The sequence below is a fragment of the Homo sapiens genome, chromosome 18 (genome assembly GCF_000001405.40).
Source record: "Homo sapiens chromosome 18, GRCh38.p14 Primary Assembly".
NCBI lineage: Eukaryota > Metazoa > Chordata > Mammalia > Primates > Hominidae > Homo > Homo sapiens.
In genome coordinates this window covers 63,724,617-63,737,991 of record NC_000018.10, presented here as the reverse complement: position 1 = coordinate 63,737,991, position 13,375 = coordinate 63,724,617, and the positions used below count along the sequence as shown (strand labels likewise).

The window sequence follows — 13,375 nt, the reverse complement described above, 5'->3', positions numbered from 1 at the left end:
CAAAGTCAGAGGATGCCACAACCTGATTTCGAAACTTACTATAAAGCTTCCTTATAAACACTGGCGTAGAATTGGGTGACTAGTAGAGTGTCAGGGGGCTGCTGTTGCCAAGATACCTAGGGCTTCTAACTAGCAGCCCTTTTTCCTGCTGCCTTTTGTAACCGATGGCCAATAGATACAGCAGCCTCCAACCATGGCTCAATATCCAGTAGTATTTAGGTAAGGTGACCATATCATTTATCCTCCAAATATTGATCTCCTCCAAATATATTGATCTCCTTTCTTTTGGGTAAATACCCAGTAGTGGAATTGTTGAGTCATATGGTAGCTCAATTTTTAGTTTTTTGAGGAACCTCCAAACTGTTCTCCATTGTTGTACTAACTTACATTCTCACCAACAGTGTATGAGGATTCCCTTTTCTCCATATCCTTGCCAGCATTTGTTATTGCCAGAATTTCACTTTTGAGAGTGAAATGGGAAGCTATTTATCATTACACCAGGACAACAGGAGTAGACCAGACGGAGGCAGGAATCCCAGGCATATAGTCACCTGTTAATTCAGATATTTCAAGGGACAACATGTGGGAAAGTAACTAGATTTTCCAAAGGCAGGATTTTCTGAGGTTTTAGTCCCCAGAAAGTTCTCCCCATTAAGTCCTCACTTTTGCCATTCTATTCTGCTCCTGAAAATTTCTGAGAAAAAAAAAAGATGACAGATCTAGAAGAAGTAGAAGGAAAAAACTAGACTGAGCAGTAAGTACACAGACACTGTGCCACTGCCCAAATGGTGACTTCTTTTCCCTTTGTCTTTTAAATTTACATCAAGTTACCCTGGAGGAGCCTCTGAGCAGAAACACCTCATTAAAGTTACCTTTTGTGTGCACTATGCCCTTTCCATGACCCACTGGTGCCCTGTGGCTAAGAATCTGGTTTGATGCTGCTGACTGCCTGTGGGAAAACACAGTGCTTCCTGTCCATTAGAGGTGTGGGTATGAGTGCTGTCACAGGGAAGCAGCAATTTTCCTGAGTCACTATAATATCATAGGTACCAAACATGGATTTGGGGGCTCAGTGTTTGTCCAGTAAGAAGGAAAAAAAAAATTTATTAATCAACTCAAAAACTTTAGGTGTCAGAAGAAGTAAGAACAATAGAGATAAAAAACAAATACTATCCATGAACAATGAGGAAAAAAATAAAGACTTGTCTTTTGTTTTTTGAAATCCAGGTCAAGGAGACCTTCTCTCCACTTTCTCTCCAACTTCCTTTTCTAAATTTAAAAAAAATTGTGGGTACACAGTACTCATACGTTTTTATAGGGTACATGTGATATTTTGGTACAGGCATGCAGTGTGTAAAAATCACATCATTTTTATCTGTCCCCTCAAGCATTTATCCCTTCAATGCATAATGGATAAATGCACTACAAAAAATCCAGTTATATTATTTTAGTTATTATAAAATATACAATGTAATTATTATTGACTATAGTCCCCCTGTTGTGCTTTCAAATAGTAGGTCCTATCTGTTTCTTCTAACTATATATTTTTGTACCTATTAATCATTCCACCTCCTCCCCAACCCCCCACTACCCTTCCCAGCCTTTGGTCACCATCCTTCTATTCTCTATCTCCATAAGTTCAATTGTTTTGACTTTTAGATTCCACAAATAATTGAGAACATGCAATGTTTGTCTTTCTGTGCCTGGCTTATTTCACTGAACATAGTAACCTCCTGTTCTATTCATGTTGCTGCAAGTGACAGAATCTCATCCTTTTTTATAGCTGAATGGTACTCCATTGTGTGTAAGTATCACATTTTCTTTATCTATTTATCTGTTGATGAATGCTTAGGTAGCTTCCAAATCTTGGCTACTGTGAACAGTACTGCAACAAACATGAGAGTGGAGATATCTCTTAGATACATTGATCTCCTTTCTTTTGGGTAAATACCCAGTAGTGGGATTGTTGAGTCATAAGGTAGCTCAATTTTTAGTTTTTTGAGGAACCTCCAAACTGTTCTCCATTGTTGTACTAACTTACATTCCCACCAACAGTGTATGAGGATTCCCTTTTCTCCATATCCTTGCCAGTATTTGTTATTGCCTGAATTTTTAATAAAAGCAATTTTAACTGGAATGAGATTTGATTTGCATTTCCCTGATGATCAGTGATGTTGAGCACCTTTTCACATGTCTGTTTGCCATTTGTATGTCTTCTTTTGAGAAATATCTGTTCGATTCTTTTACCCATTTTTAATCAGAGTATTAGATTTTTTTCCTATAGAGCTGTTGGAGCTTCTTATATATTCTGGTTATCAATCCCTTGTCAGGTGGGTAGTTTGCAAACATTTTCTCCCATTCTGTAGCTTATCTCTTCACTTTGTTGATAGTTTCTCTTGCTGTGCAGTAGTTTTTTTAAGTTGATATGATCCCATTTGTCCATTTTTGCTTTGGTTGCCTGTAGTTGTAGAGTATTAATCAAGAAATTTTTGCCCACACAAATGTCCTGGAACATTTCCCCAATGTTTTCTTGTAGTAGTTTCATAGGAGCATATTGTTTAATTTCCATGTGTTTGAATAGTTTCCAAAATTTCTCTTATTATTGATTTCTAGTTTTATTTCATTGTGGTCAGAGGAGATGCTTGATATTATTTCAATTTTTTTGAATGTTTTAAGACTTGTTTTGTGACCTAACACATGGTCTGTCCTTGAGAATAATCCACGTGCTGAGAAGAAGAAAAATGTCCTGAAGCCATTGGAAAAAGTGTTCTCTAAATATTTATTAGGTCCATTTGGTCTGTAGTGCAGATTAAGTCAGATATTTCTTTGTTGATTTTCTGTCTGATAGTCTGTCCGTGCTGAAAGTGGGGTGTTGAAGTCTCCAGCTATTATTGTATTGGAGTCTATGTTTCTCTTCAGCTTTATATATCTGGGTGCCCCAGTGTTGGATGCATGTATATATTTATAGTTGTTATATCTTCTTGCTGAATTGATCCCTTTACCATTATATAATAAGCTTCTTTGTCTCTTCTTAAAGTTTTTGTCTTGAAGTCTATTTTGTCTGATATAAGTAGAGCTACTTCTGCTCTTTCTTGGTTTTCATTGGCATGGAATATCTTTTTCCATTCCTTTATTTTCGGTCTATATGTATCTTTATAGGTGAAGTGTGTTTCTTGTAGGTGACAGATCATTGGGTCTTGTTTTTCATCCATTCATCCACTCTTTTGATTGAAGAGTTTGGTTCTTTTACATTCAATGTTATTATTGATAAGTAGAGACTTAACTCCCACCATTTTGTTACTTATTTTTGGGTTGTTTTGTGCTCTTCTCTTCCTTCTTTCTTTCCTTCCTGTCTTCTTTTAGTGAAGATGATTTTCTCTTGTGGTATGCTTTAATTTCCTGATTTTTATTTTTTGTGTATTCATTGTATTTTTTTTGAGGTTACCATGAGGCTTGCAAATACTATCTTTTTTTTAAATTATACTTTAAGTTTTAGGGTACATGTGCACAATGTGCAGGTTAGTTACATATGTATACATGTGCCATGCTGGTGCGCTGCACCCACTAACTCGTCATCTAGCATTAGGTATATCTCCCAATGCTATCCCTCCCTCCTCCCCCCACCCCACAACAGTCCCCAGAGTGTGATGTTCCCCTTCCTGTGTCCATGTGTTCTCATTGTTCAATTCCCACCTATGAGTGAGAACATGCAGTGTTTGGTTTTTCGTTCTTGCGATAGTTTACTGAGAATGATGATTTCCAATTTCATCCATGTCCCTACAAACGACATGAACTCATCATTTTTTATGGCTGCATAGTATTCCATGGTGTATATGTGCCACATTTTCTTAATCCAGTCTATCATTGTTGGACATTTGGGTTGGTTCCAAGTCTTTGCTATTGTGAATAACGCAAATACTATCTTATAACTCATTATTTTAAATTGATGACAAGTCAACACTGGTTGCATAAACAAACACCCACAAAAAAAACTAATAAAACTCTACACTTTCACTTTGTCCTCCTGCTTTTTAACTTTTTGTTGTTTCTATTTATGTCTTATTGTACCACCTATGTCTTGAAAAGTTATTATTTTTGATTGTTTGATCATTTGATCTTTCTACTTAAGAGAAAAGTGGTATACACACGACAATTACAGTGCTTTACTATTTTGGTTTTTTTTTTCTTTTTTTTCCTTTCTTTTCTTTTTTTAGACAGAATCTTGCTCTGTTGCCCAGGCTGGAGTGCAGTGGCACAATCTCAGCTCACTGCAACCTCTGTCTCCCAGATTCAAGTGATTTTCTTGTCTCAGCCTCCCAAGTAGCTGGGACTACAGGCATGTGCCACCACCCCCAACTGATTTTTTATATTTTTAGTGGAGACAGGGTTTCACCGTGTTAGCCAGGATGGTCTCAATCTCCTGACCTCCTGATCCTCCTACCTCAGCCTGCCAGAGTGGTGGGATTACAGGTGTGAGCCACTATGCAGGGCACTATTCTGTTTTTCTTTGTGGTTACTATCACCAGTGAGTTTTGTGCCTTCAGATGATTTCTTCTTGCTCATTAACATCCATTTCTTTCAGATTGAAGAACTGCCTTTAGTATTTCTTGTAGAACAGGTTGGGTCTTGATGAAATCCCTCAGCTTTTGTTTGTCTAGGTAGGTCTTTATTTCTCCTTCATGCTTGAAGGACATTTTCATTGGATATATTATTCTAGAATAAAAGATTTTTTTCCTTCAGCACTTTACATATGTCATGCCACTCTCTCCTGGCCGGTAATGTTTCCATTGAAAAGTCTGCTGCCAGACATTTTGGAGCTCCATTGTATGTTATTTGTTTCTTTACTCTTGCTGCTTTTAAGATTCTTTCTTTATCCTTGACATTTGGGAGTTTGATTATTAAATGCTTTGAGATAGTTTCCTTTGTGTTAAATCTGCTTGGTGTCTATAACTTTGTACTTGAATGTTGCTATCTTTCTGTAGATTTGAGAAGTTTTCTGATATTATCCCTTTGAATAAACCCCTATCTCTTTCTCTACCTTTTCTTTAAGGTTAATAACTCTTAGATTTGCCCTTTTGAGGCTATTTTCTAGATTGGTATGCATGCTTCATTCTTTTTTACTCTTTTTTTTTTGTGTCCTCTGACTGTGTATTTTCAAGCAGCCTGTCTTCAAGCTCACCAATTCTTTCTTCTATTAAATTGATCAATTCTATTAAAAGGCTCTGATGCATTCTTCATGATGGCAATTGCATTTCTCGACTCAAGAATTTCTGCTTGATTCTTTTTCATAATTTCAATCTCTTTGTTAAATTTATTGGATAGAATTCTTAATTCCTTTTCTAGACTATCTTGGATTTCTTTGATTTTCCTCAAAACAACTATTATGAATTATCTCTCTGAAAGGTCACATATGTCTCTTTCTCTAGAATTGGTCCCTGGTTCATTATTTAGTTCATTTGGTGAGGTTATGCTTTCCTGGATGGTCTTGATGCTTATAGATATTTGTCAGTGTCTAAGCAATGAAAAGCTAGGTATTTACTGTAGTCTTTATAGTCTGATCTTATTTCTGGTTGTCCTTGAGGAGGCTTTCAGGGTATTTGAAGGGATCGGACCTGAAGCCCCATAATGCTGTCAGTTTTGCAGACTCATAGAGGTACCACTCTGGCAGTCTTGGATAAGACCTGGAAGAATTCTCTGAATTACCAGACAGAGGCTCTTGTTCTTTTCCCTTACGTTCTCCCAAACAAACAGAGTCTCTCTCTGTGTGTGTCTCTCTGTCTGTCTCTCTCTATCTACCTATCTATCTGTCTCTCTCTCTGTCTCTTTCTCTCGCTCTCTTTCTCTCTCTCTCTGTACTGAGCCATCTTAAACTGAGGGTGTGGTGATGCAAGCATCCCTGTGGCCACCACCACTGAGACCGTGGTGGGTCAGCACCTGAAGCCAACATAGCACTGGGTATTGCCCAAGGCCCTTTCCTTCACAGCAACAAGTTCCTCCAAGCTGCAGGCATGTCCATGGATGTTGTCTGAGAGCCAGAGATTGGAGTGAAAAACCTTAGCAACTTACTTGATATTCTACTGCTGCTAAGCTGTCATTCAAATCACAATACAAAGACTTTCTTTCTCTTCCCTCCCCTTTCCACAGGCAGAGGAGGAGCCTCTCCCTGTGGTGACCACCACCACTGATCCACACAGGTTCTGCAAGGCCACTGCTGATGTTCACTTAAAGCCCAAGGGCTCATTTGTCCACTTGTGATAAATGCTGCCAAGCCTGGGACTCATCTTTCAGGGCAGTCAAGTCCTGCCTGTCCTAGGGTAGATCCAGAAATGGTGTCCAAGAGCTTAGGCCTGGACTCAGGGACCCCAAGAGCCTACTTGTTGTTCTACTCCACTGTGGCCAAGCTGGTACCTAAGGTGCAAGACAAAGTCCCCCTTTACTTTCCCCTCTGCTTCTCAAAAAGATGGAGCCTTTCACTATAGCCACCACAGCTGGACGTGCTTGGGCTCACCTGAAGTCAGCACATTTCAGAGCCCAAGGCCCACAGCGTACTACCTGAGTATTGCTGCTGGTTATTCAGGAACCAAGGGCTCCTTAGTCAGCAGATTATGAATTCTGCCAGGCACTGGTCCTTCCCTTCAAGGTAGCAGGTTTCCTTTTGGCTCAGGTTGTCTCTAGAAATGTCCAGGAGCCAGGTCCTGGAACGGGGGCCTCACAACTCTGCCTGGTGCCCTATCTTACTGTGGCTGAGCTGGTATCCAAGATGCAAGACAAAGTCCTCTTTGCTCTTTGTTCTCCTCTTGTTAAATAGAAAGAAAGAATCACTTTTATTGCTGTGAGCTTCACTGCCTGGGGTCGGGGGAGGGGTGACACCAGCACTCCCTTAGAAGCTAGTGTCTCCCTAGGTCACGTGCCACTCTAGAACTCTGGCTCTGAGCCCAGCTTAGCACTAGGAATTTCCTAGGAATTGCAGTCCTTGTGTCCTACATTGTCTTTCAAGCTTATCTAAAACCCCAAAGCACTTCAGCCTGTGGTGGCAAGGCTTTGCCAAGAAACTCGAGTTCCAACCACTGGGATGGGTGAATCCCCTCTGGCTAGGGCTGGTCCAAATGCTCACTTCGGGCAAGGGTGAGCTGGCTGAGCCCAGCACGGCCTTATTCTCTGCTAAGCTTTATTCTCTACTGTGATAGAGCAGTACTGAATTCAATGTAAAATCCCAAGTTGCTGCACTCTCCCTCCCTCAAGGGCATAGACTCTTTCTCCATGTTGCATGGGGAAAGGGTGGCATCGACAATTCAAGATTGTCTCTCCTGCCCCCCTCAATTCCTCTTTCCAGGATATGAAGTTAAAACCAGTTACTATGATTGCTCACCTGATTTTTGGTTCTCGTGACACTGCTTTTTTTTTTTTTTTAGACTAAGTTTCACTCATGTCACCCAGGCTGGAGTGCAATGGTGCAATCTTGGCTAACTGCAACCTCCACCTCCCAGATTCAAGAGATTCTCCTGCTTCAGCCTCACGAGTAGCTGGGATTACAGGTGCCCACTACTATACCCAGCTAATTTTGTGTATTTTTAGTAGAGATGGGGTTTCACCGTATTGGCCAGGCTGGTCTCGAACTCCTGACCTCCGGTGATCCACCGGCCTCAGCCTCCCAAAGTACTGGGATTGCAGTTGTAAGCCACCACACCCAGCCATGACAGTGCTTTTCTATGTGCAGATAGTTATTAAAATCTGGTGTTCCAGCAGGGGAAACAAGTGGTATAGGCTTCTATTCTGACATCTTGCTCCGCCCACACAAAACTCCCAATTTCCTTCTTTAAAAATCAATGTTCTTGGCCAGACACGGTGGCTCACGCCTGTAATCCCAGCGCTTTGGGAGGCCGAGAAGAGTGGATCATTTGAGGTCAGGAGTTTGAGACCAGCCTGATCAAGATGGTGAAACCCCGTCTCTACTAAAAATACAGAAAAATTAGCCAGGCATGGTGGCACACTCCTGTAATCCCAGCTACTTGGAGGCTGAGGCAGGAGAATCACTTGAACCTGGGAGACGGAGGTTGCAGTGAGCCAAGAATCATGCAACTGCACTCCAGCCTGGGTGACAGAGTGAGTTCCATCTCAAAAAAAAAAAAAGAAAAGAAAAAATTAGTATTCTTAATTTTTTTGAAGAAGTTTTAGGTTTAAAGAAAAATAGACCAGAGAGTATAGGGTTCCCATATACTCCCTTAGTCCTTCCCTCCCAGTTTTTCCTGCTATTAACATTTTTCATTAGTGTTGTACATTTGTTATAATTGATGAACTAATATTATTATTAATTTAGATAGCTATTAACTAAATACAGTATTGTTGACTAAATTCTATAGTTTACATTAGAGTTCAATCTTTCTGTTGTATATCCTATGGGTTTTAACAAATGTACAATGGCGTGCATTTTCCATTACAATATCATAGAAAATAGTTTCACTGCCCTATAAATCCTCTGTGCTTCACCTATTCATCCCTCCCTTCCTCTCCCTAGTCCCCTGACAACCACTAATCTTTATATTGTCTCCACAGTTTTGTCCTTCCCGAATGTTTTAAGTTGGGATCATATAGTATGCAGCTTTTCAGACTGGCTTCTTTTACTTAGTAATATGCATTTAAGTTCCTCCATGTCTTTTCATGGCTAGGTAGTTCATTTCTTTTTACTGCTGAATAATATTCCATTGCATAAATGTACCACAGTTTTTTAATCATTCATGTATTGAAGGACATTTGGTTGCTTCCAAGTTTTTGGCAATAATGAATAAAGCTGCTATAAACATTTGTGTGCAGGTTTTTGTGTAGACATAAATTTTCAGGTCATCTGGGTAAATACCAAAGAGTGAAACTGCTGGATTGTATGGCAATAGCATGTTTAGTTTTATAAGATACTGACCCAAAATACCACCTTTTATACCCATAAGCTATGAGTGACATAGTTTCGGTTGCTCCACATGCTCACCAGCATTTGATGTTGTCAGTACTTTAGATTTTAGCCATGCTAATAGGTTTTAATTCGCAATTCTCTAATGACAGATAATGTACAGCATGTTTTCATTTGTTTATTTGCCATCTATGTACCTTCTCTGGTATGGTGTCCATATATTTTGCCCATTTTTAACTAACAGTTTTCTTATTGTTAATTGTGTGTGTGTGTGTGTGTGTGTGTGTGTGTGTGTGTGTGTGTTTAGGGACTCTGTCTCCTGGGCTGAAGTGCAGTGCTGTGATCTTAGTTCACTGCAGCCCCTACCTCCTGGGCTCAACTCATCCTCCCACCTCAGTCCCCCAAGCAGCTAGGACTAAGGCAGGTACCACAATGCCTGGCTAATTTTTTTTGGTGGGGGGCGGGGGATGGGAGACAGCGTTTTTCTCCTTGCCCAGGCTGGTCTCAAACTCCTGAGCTCAAGCAATTTGCCTGCCTTAACCTCCCAAAGTGCTGAGATTATAGGCATAAGCCACCATGCCTGGCCTCTTATTGTTGAATTTTAAGAATTCTTTGTATATTTTAAATACCAGCTTTGTTTTTATTAGACATATGTTTTGTAAATATTTTTTCCACTCTGTTGCTTGTGTTTTTATTCTCACGGTGTCTTTTGAGAGCAGAAGTTTTTAATTTTAATTAAGTCCAAATTATCCATTTTTTTATGACTCATACCTTTGGTATTGTATCTAAAAAGGCATTGCTAAACCAAAGGTCACCTAGATTTTCTCCCATGTCATCTTCTAGAAGTTTTGTAGTTTTGCATGTTATACTTAGGTGAATAATCAATTTTGAGATAATTTTTGTGAGTCATGTAAAATCAGATTCTAGATTATTTTTGACATGTGGAGATCCAGCTTTTCTACCACCATTTGTTGAAAAGATTATTCTTTCTCCATTGAATTGGCTTCGCACCTTTACCAAAGACCAATTGATTGTATTTGTGTGGGTCTCTTTCTGGGTTTCTTATTCTGTTCCACTGACCTATTTGTTATTCTTTCAACAATATGACACTGTCTTGATTATTGTGGCTTTATGTAAGTCTTGAAATCAGGCGGTAGCCTTCCTCTGGCTTTATTCTTCTTCTTCAATATTGTGCGGGCTATTCTGAATCTTTCCCGGCTTCCTTTTAACTCAATAACGCAAGTGAGGATATTTAGAAGTCTCTTTTCTCAGTCCTCCACTTCTCTTGTCATGAACTCAGGCCAGTGGCATCTATACACATGAGTGATTTCTTAATTTTTCCCCATTTCTATCATTTTTCTTCCATATTTTAAAAGATTGTATCCACAAAACTGCCTTTGTTTCACAGATTTGCTTCATCAAAGATATCTATAACTTCTGGTCAGAGATTCCAATCAGCATGAGATATCATTGTTACTGACGATTTTGATATGTCTGCCACAAAAGTAAACAGCATTATGCAACCTAATGCCAAGTCTAACGTGATGCCAAATTAAGTTTAAGTGAGGCACCAAAATAAATTAGGTGCTGGCTTCCGAATGAGACAGTGGACTATATGTAGGTAATCCAACAAAACTTGGTATGAGACTCCTTAAAACTTGTGCAGGTCATAAGGCAAAACATACTTCAATAAACTCTTACCTTGTCCCTCCCCATTTGCCCATAGGCCATCTTGGGAGGTGACCCACTTTGTGCCCAGCTGCCACCAGCTGGAAACATTTTTGGAATGAAGAATGACCTGTCCAAGGACTAGGGACCAGGTGGGCCAGGTAGGCAGGTGGGAAGGGGTGCGACCACCTGGGTCAGTTTCTCTCTCAGCCCCAACGACATTCAGATCTTTTCTCCTCCTGGAGGGTGTGGTTGCCTCTGGTAAGTCACAGGTTCATAGACTGAGATTCTGCCACATAATGTGGTTCCTGAGGAAGCAGGCACTGGGGATGGGGAGCAGAGAGGAGAACTGAGAGTGGAGGGAACACCAGAGTGTGTCTTAGCAGCTCACAGTGCTATTCCTTCCAAGTGCTGACCACTGGCCACACAAAACCAGTGGTAGCTTCAAAACCATACAAAACTAGGTGGAAGGCAGGACTTGGCCGTCAGGCTGCAGTGTGCTGGCCACAGCCGTCAAATAACAGCTGATCTAGATCCACCCTAGCAAAGCCCCAGAACCATGCTTCCATGGGATCAGGCTCTGTCGCCAGTAAAATATTTTTAAAAAGAAAAATGTACTTAAGTTGGTGCAAAAGTAATCTTGGTTTTTGACTTTAGCAAAAACATACGTACATACACACACATGAATATATTTAAGGAAATAATGACTGAATGCTCTATAAATCTGATGAAAAATATTAACCAATAATGCCAAGAAATTCAAAAAACCTCAAGCCAGAGGAAGAGATCCTGCCAAAAAGAGAAGGGAACTTAATCATTACGGTTGTGGGGAATGTTACTGGGGCCAGCAGCTCACCAGCAGGAAGAGAGCAGAGAGGCCCTCTGTCCAGGGAACCCACAACAGCTCCTGCAGGCAAAATGTCAGGTCCAGAGCATAACACCAGCTTGTAAATCTGCAGGACTGTCTCATTCCCTTGTCAATTTCTCCCTTACTGCTTATCCTTAGGAGTCAGAAATAGCAGGTGGGTGAGGGAACAACCACCCCTCTCTTCTAGATCCCAGGCTTCTCCCTGCACCTGTTGCAGTTGGTGGGAGGGAAGAAGATACACTATTAAATTAGGCTTGCAGTTAAGATCAGTGCTTCTCAAACTGTCGTGTGCACACAAATCAACTGGGGAGCTTGTTAAACTGCAGGCTCTGATTCCTTCTGTGGATTTGGGTTGGAGCCAGAGATTTTGCCTTTCCATTTCTAACAAGTTCCCATGAGACCAGCATTATGGTCCCCAGACCACCCGGGGAATGGTAAGGGTTTAGATTACTATCTGGGCCCAAATGTTTTAATTCCTGAATCTCATTATGTTTGTGATATGGAACAATCACAGATTTTCTAGATTTTAGGTGTAACCAGAAAGCCATGAGGACTGCCAGAGTTTTCATGCTGGGGCTAAGGATGGGCCTCCCTCTAAGCAGCTTTATAGGGACAATAGGAGGGGAATGCAAAGTTGCTTTTGTGGCTTATTTCCATGAGTCTTGCTGGTTTGTTACATTGTTTATACTGGCAGAGGCAGAGCTTCTGTTAGCTCTTTGAAGGGTGAAAATTCACCTCCCTGCCCCCTTGGTGCCTGTGATGGTTAATTCCATGTGTCAACTTCGCTAGGTCCACAGGTATTTGGTCAAACACCAGTCTGGATGTTGCTGTGAAGGCAATTTTTGATAAAATTAACATTTAAATCAGTACACTTTGAGTAAAGCAGATTACCTCCATAGTGTGGGTAGACCTCATGCAATCAGTTGAAGGCCTTAAGAGAAGATAGATTAAGGTCTCTTGAGGAAGAGGGCACTCTGCCTCCAGACTGCCTTCAGACTCAAGCTGCAGGATCAATTCTTCCCTGGGTATCAAGACTGCCCTGCAGATTTTGCACTTGCCAACCTCCACAATTGCATGAGCCATTTCCTTTAATTAAACTCTCTCTCTCTCTCTCTGCCTCTCCCCACCCCTAATATATGGAGATAGATAGATAGATAGATAGATAGATAGATAGATAGATAGAGAGATATATGAAGATATATAGATATAGATTATATAAAGATATATATATATGTTTTATAATTGACAATGGTGAACATACATATAGTGGGAACTTTAAGAAAAAGTCTGACATAATAAAAACCACAACACAGGACTATATGGGCTGTTTTCCAGTCAGGACAACCCACATCTCTCTTAGCGTGTACTCTCATTCAATAAACTCTCTGGTCTCTTAGCTAAATTGTCTCTTGGCCAAATTCTTTCTCTCAAAAAAGACAGAAACGGAGGACCCCCACACTTCCAGGTGACATCCTCAAGATGTTTAGGGTGAAAAGTAGATATCAAAAACCATTCTTACTTTTCCTACACCCATCATTGTTGCTTCATGTCTCTCCATGTTACCACAGTTAAACCCACTGTGCCTGTGGAGTCTTGGGTTATCCTGTGATGTTGGCCAAGACAGCTTCTTGTCTTTATGCCATGTGACGAATGGGCCTGGTAGACAATCACTGGGACAACCACGTGCAACAAGACAGCCATTCAGTGCAGCAAGGAAGTTGCATGCTATTATAAGTAGGTACTCTTCAGTCTTACACTTTGCTGAGATTGTTGCTTGCTTGCAATTTTATAATATTTTTATTGAAGATTAAAGTAAGCCACATTCTTCAATGCCCCAAGGAGAAAGGAAAAGATTTCATTAGCTGCCACCGCTGTCTATCCTAAAAGAATGTTGCCCTGTCACCTAGGAGGGAAGCAATGGCTGACCTCCAGCCACC

General features: G+C 40.6%; 1 long non-coding RNA gene across 2 annotated transcripts; it reads left to right on the top strand.

Moving 5' to 3' along the window:
- The first annotated feature begins 157 nt into the window (after nucleotides 1-157).
- On the top strand, nucleotides 158-13,082 carry LOC124904318 (uncharacterized). 2 transcript variants are annotated; one of them, XR_007066401.1, is made up of 3 exons: nucleotides 158-219; nucleotides 10,629-10,731; nucleotides 13,007-13,082. It is a non-coding gene; the product is annotated as an uncharacterized LOC124904318 (long non-coding RNA). The 2 variants fall into 2 exon arrangements; XR_007066402.1 differs by lacking the exon at nucleotides 158-219 and adding an exon at nucleotides 10,436-10,523.
- The last annotated feature ends 293 nt before the right edge of the window (nucleotides 13,083-13,375 follow it).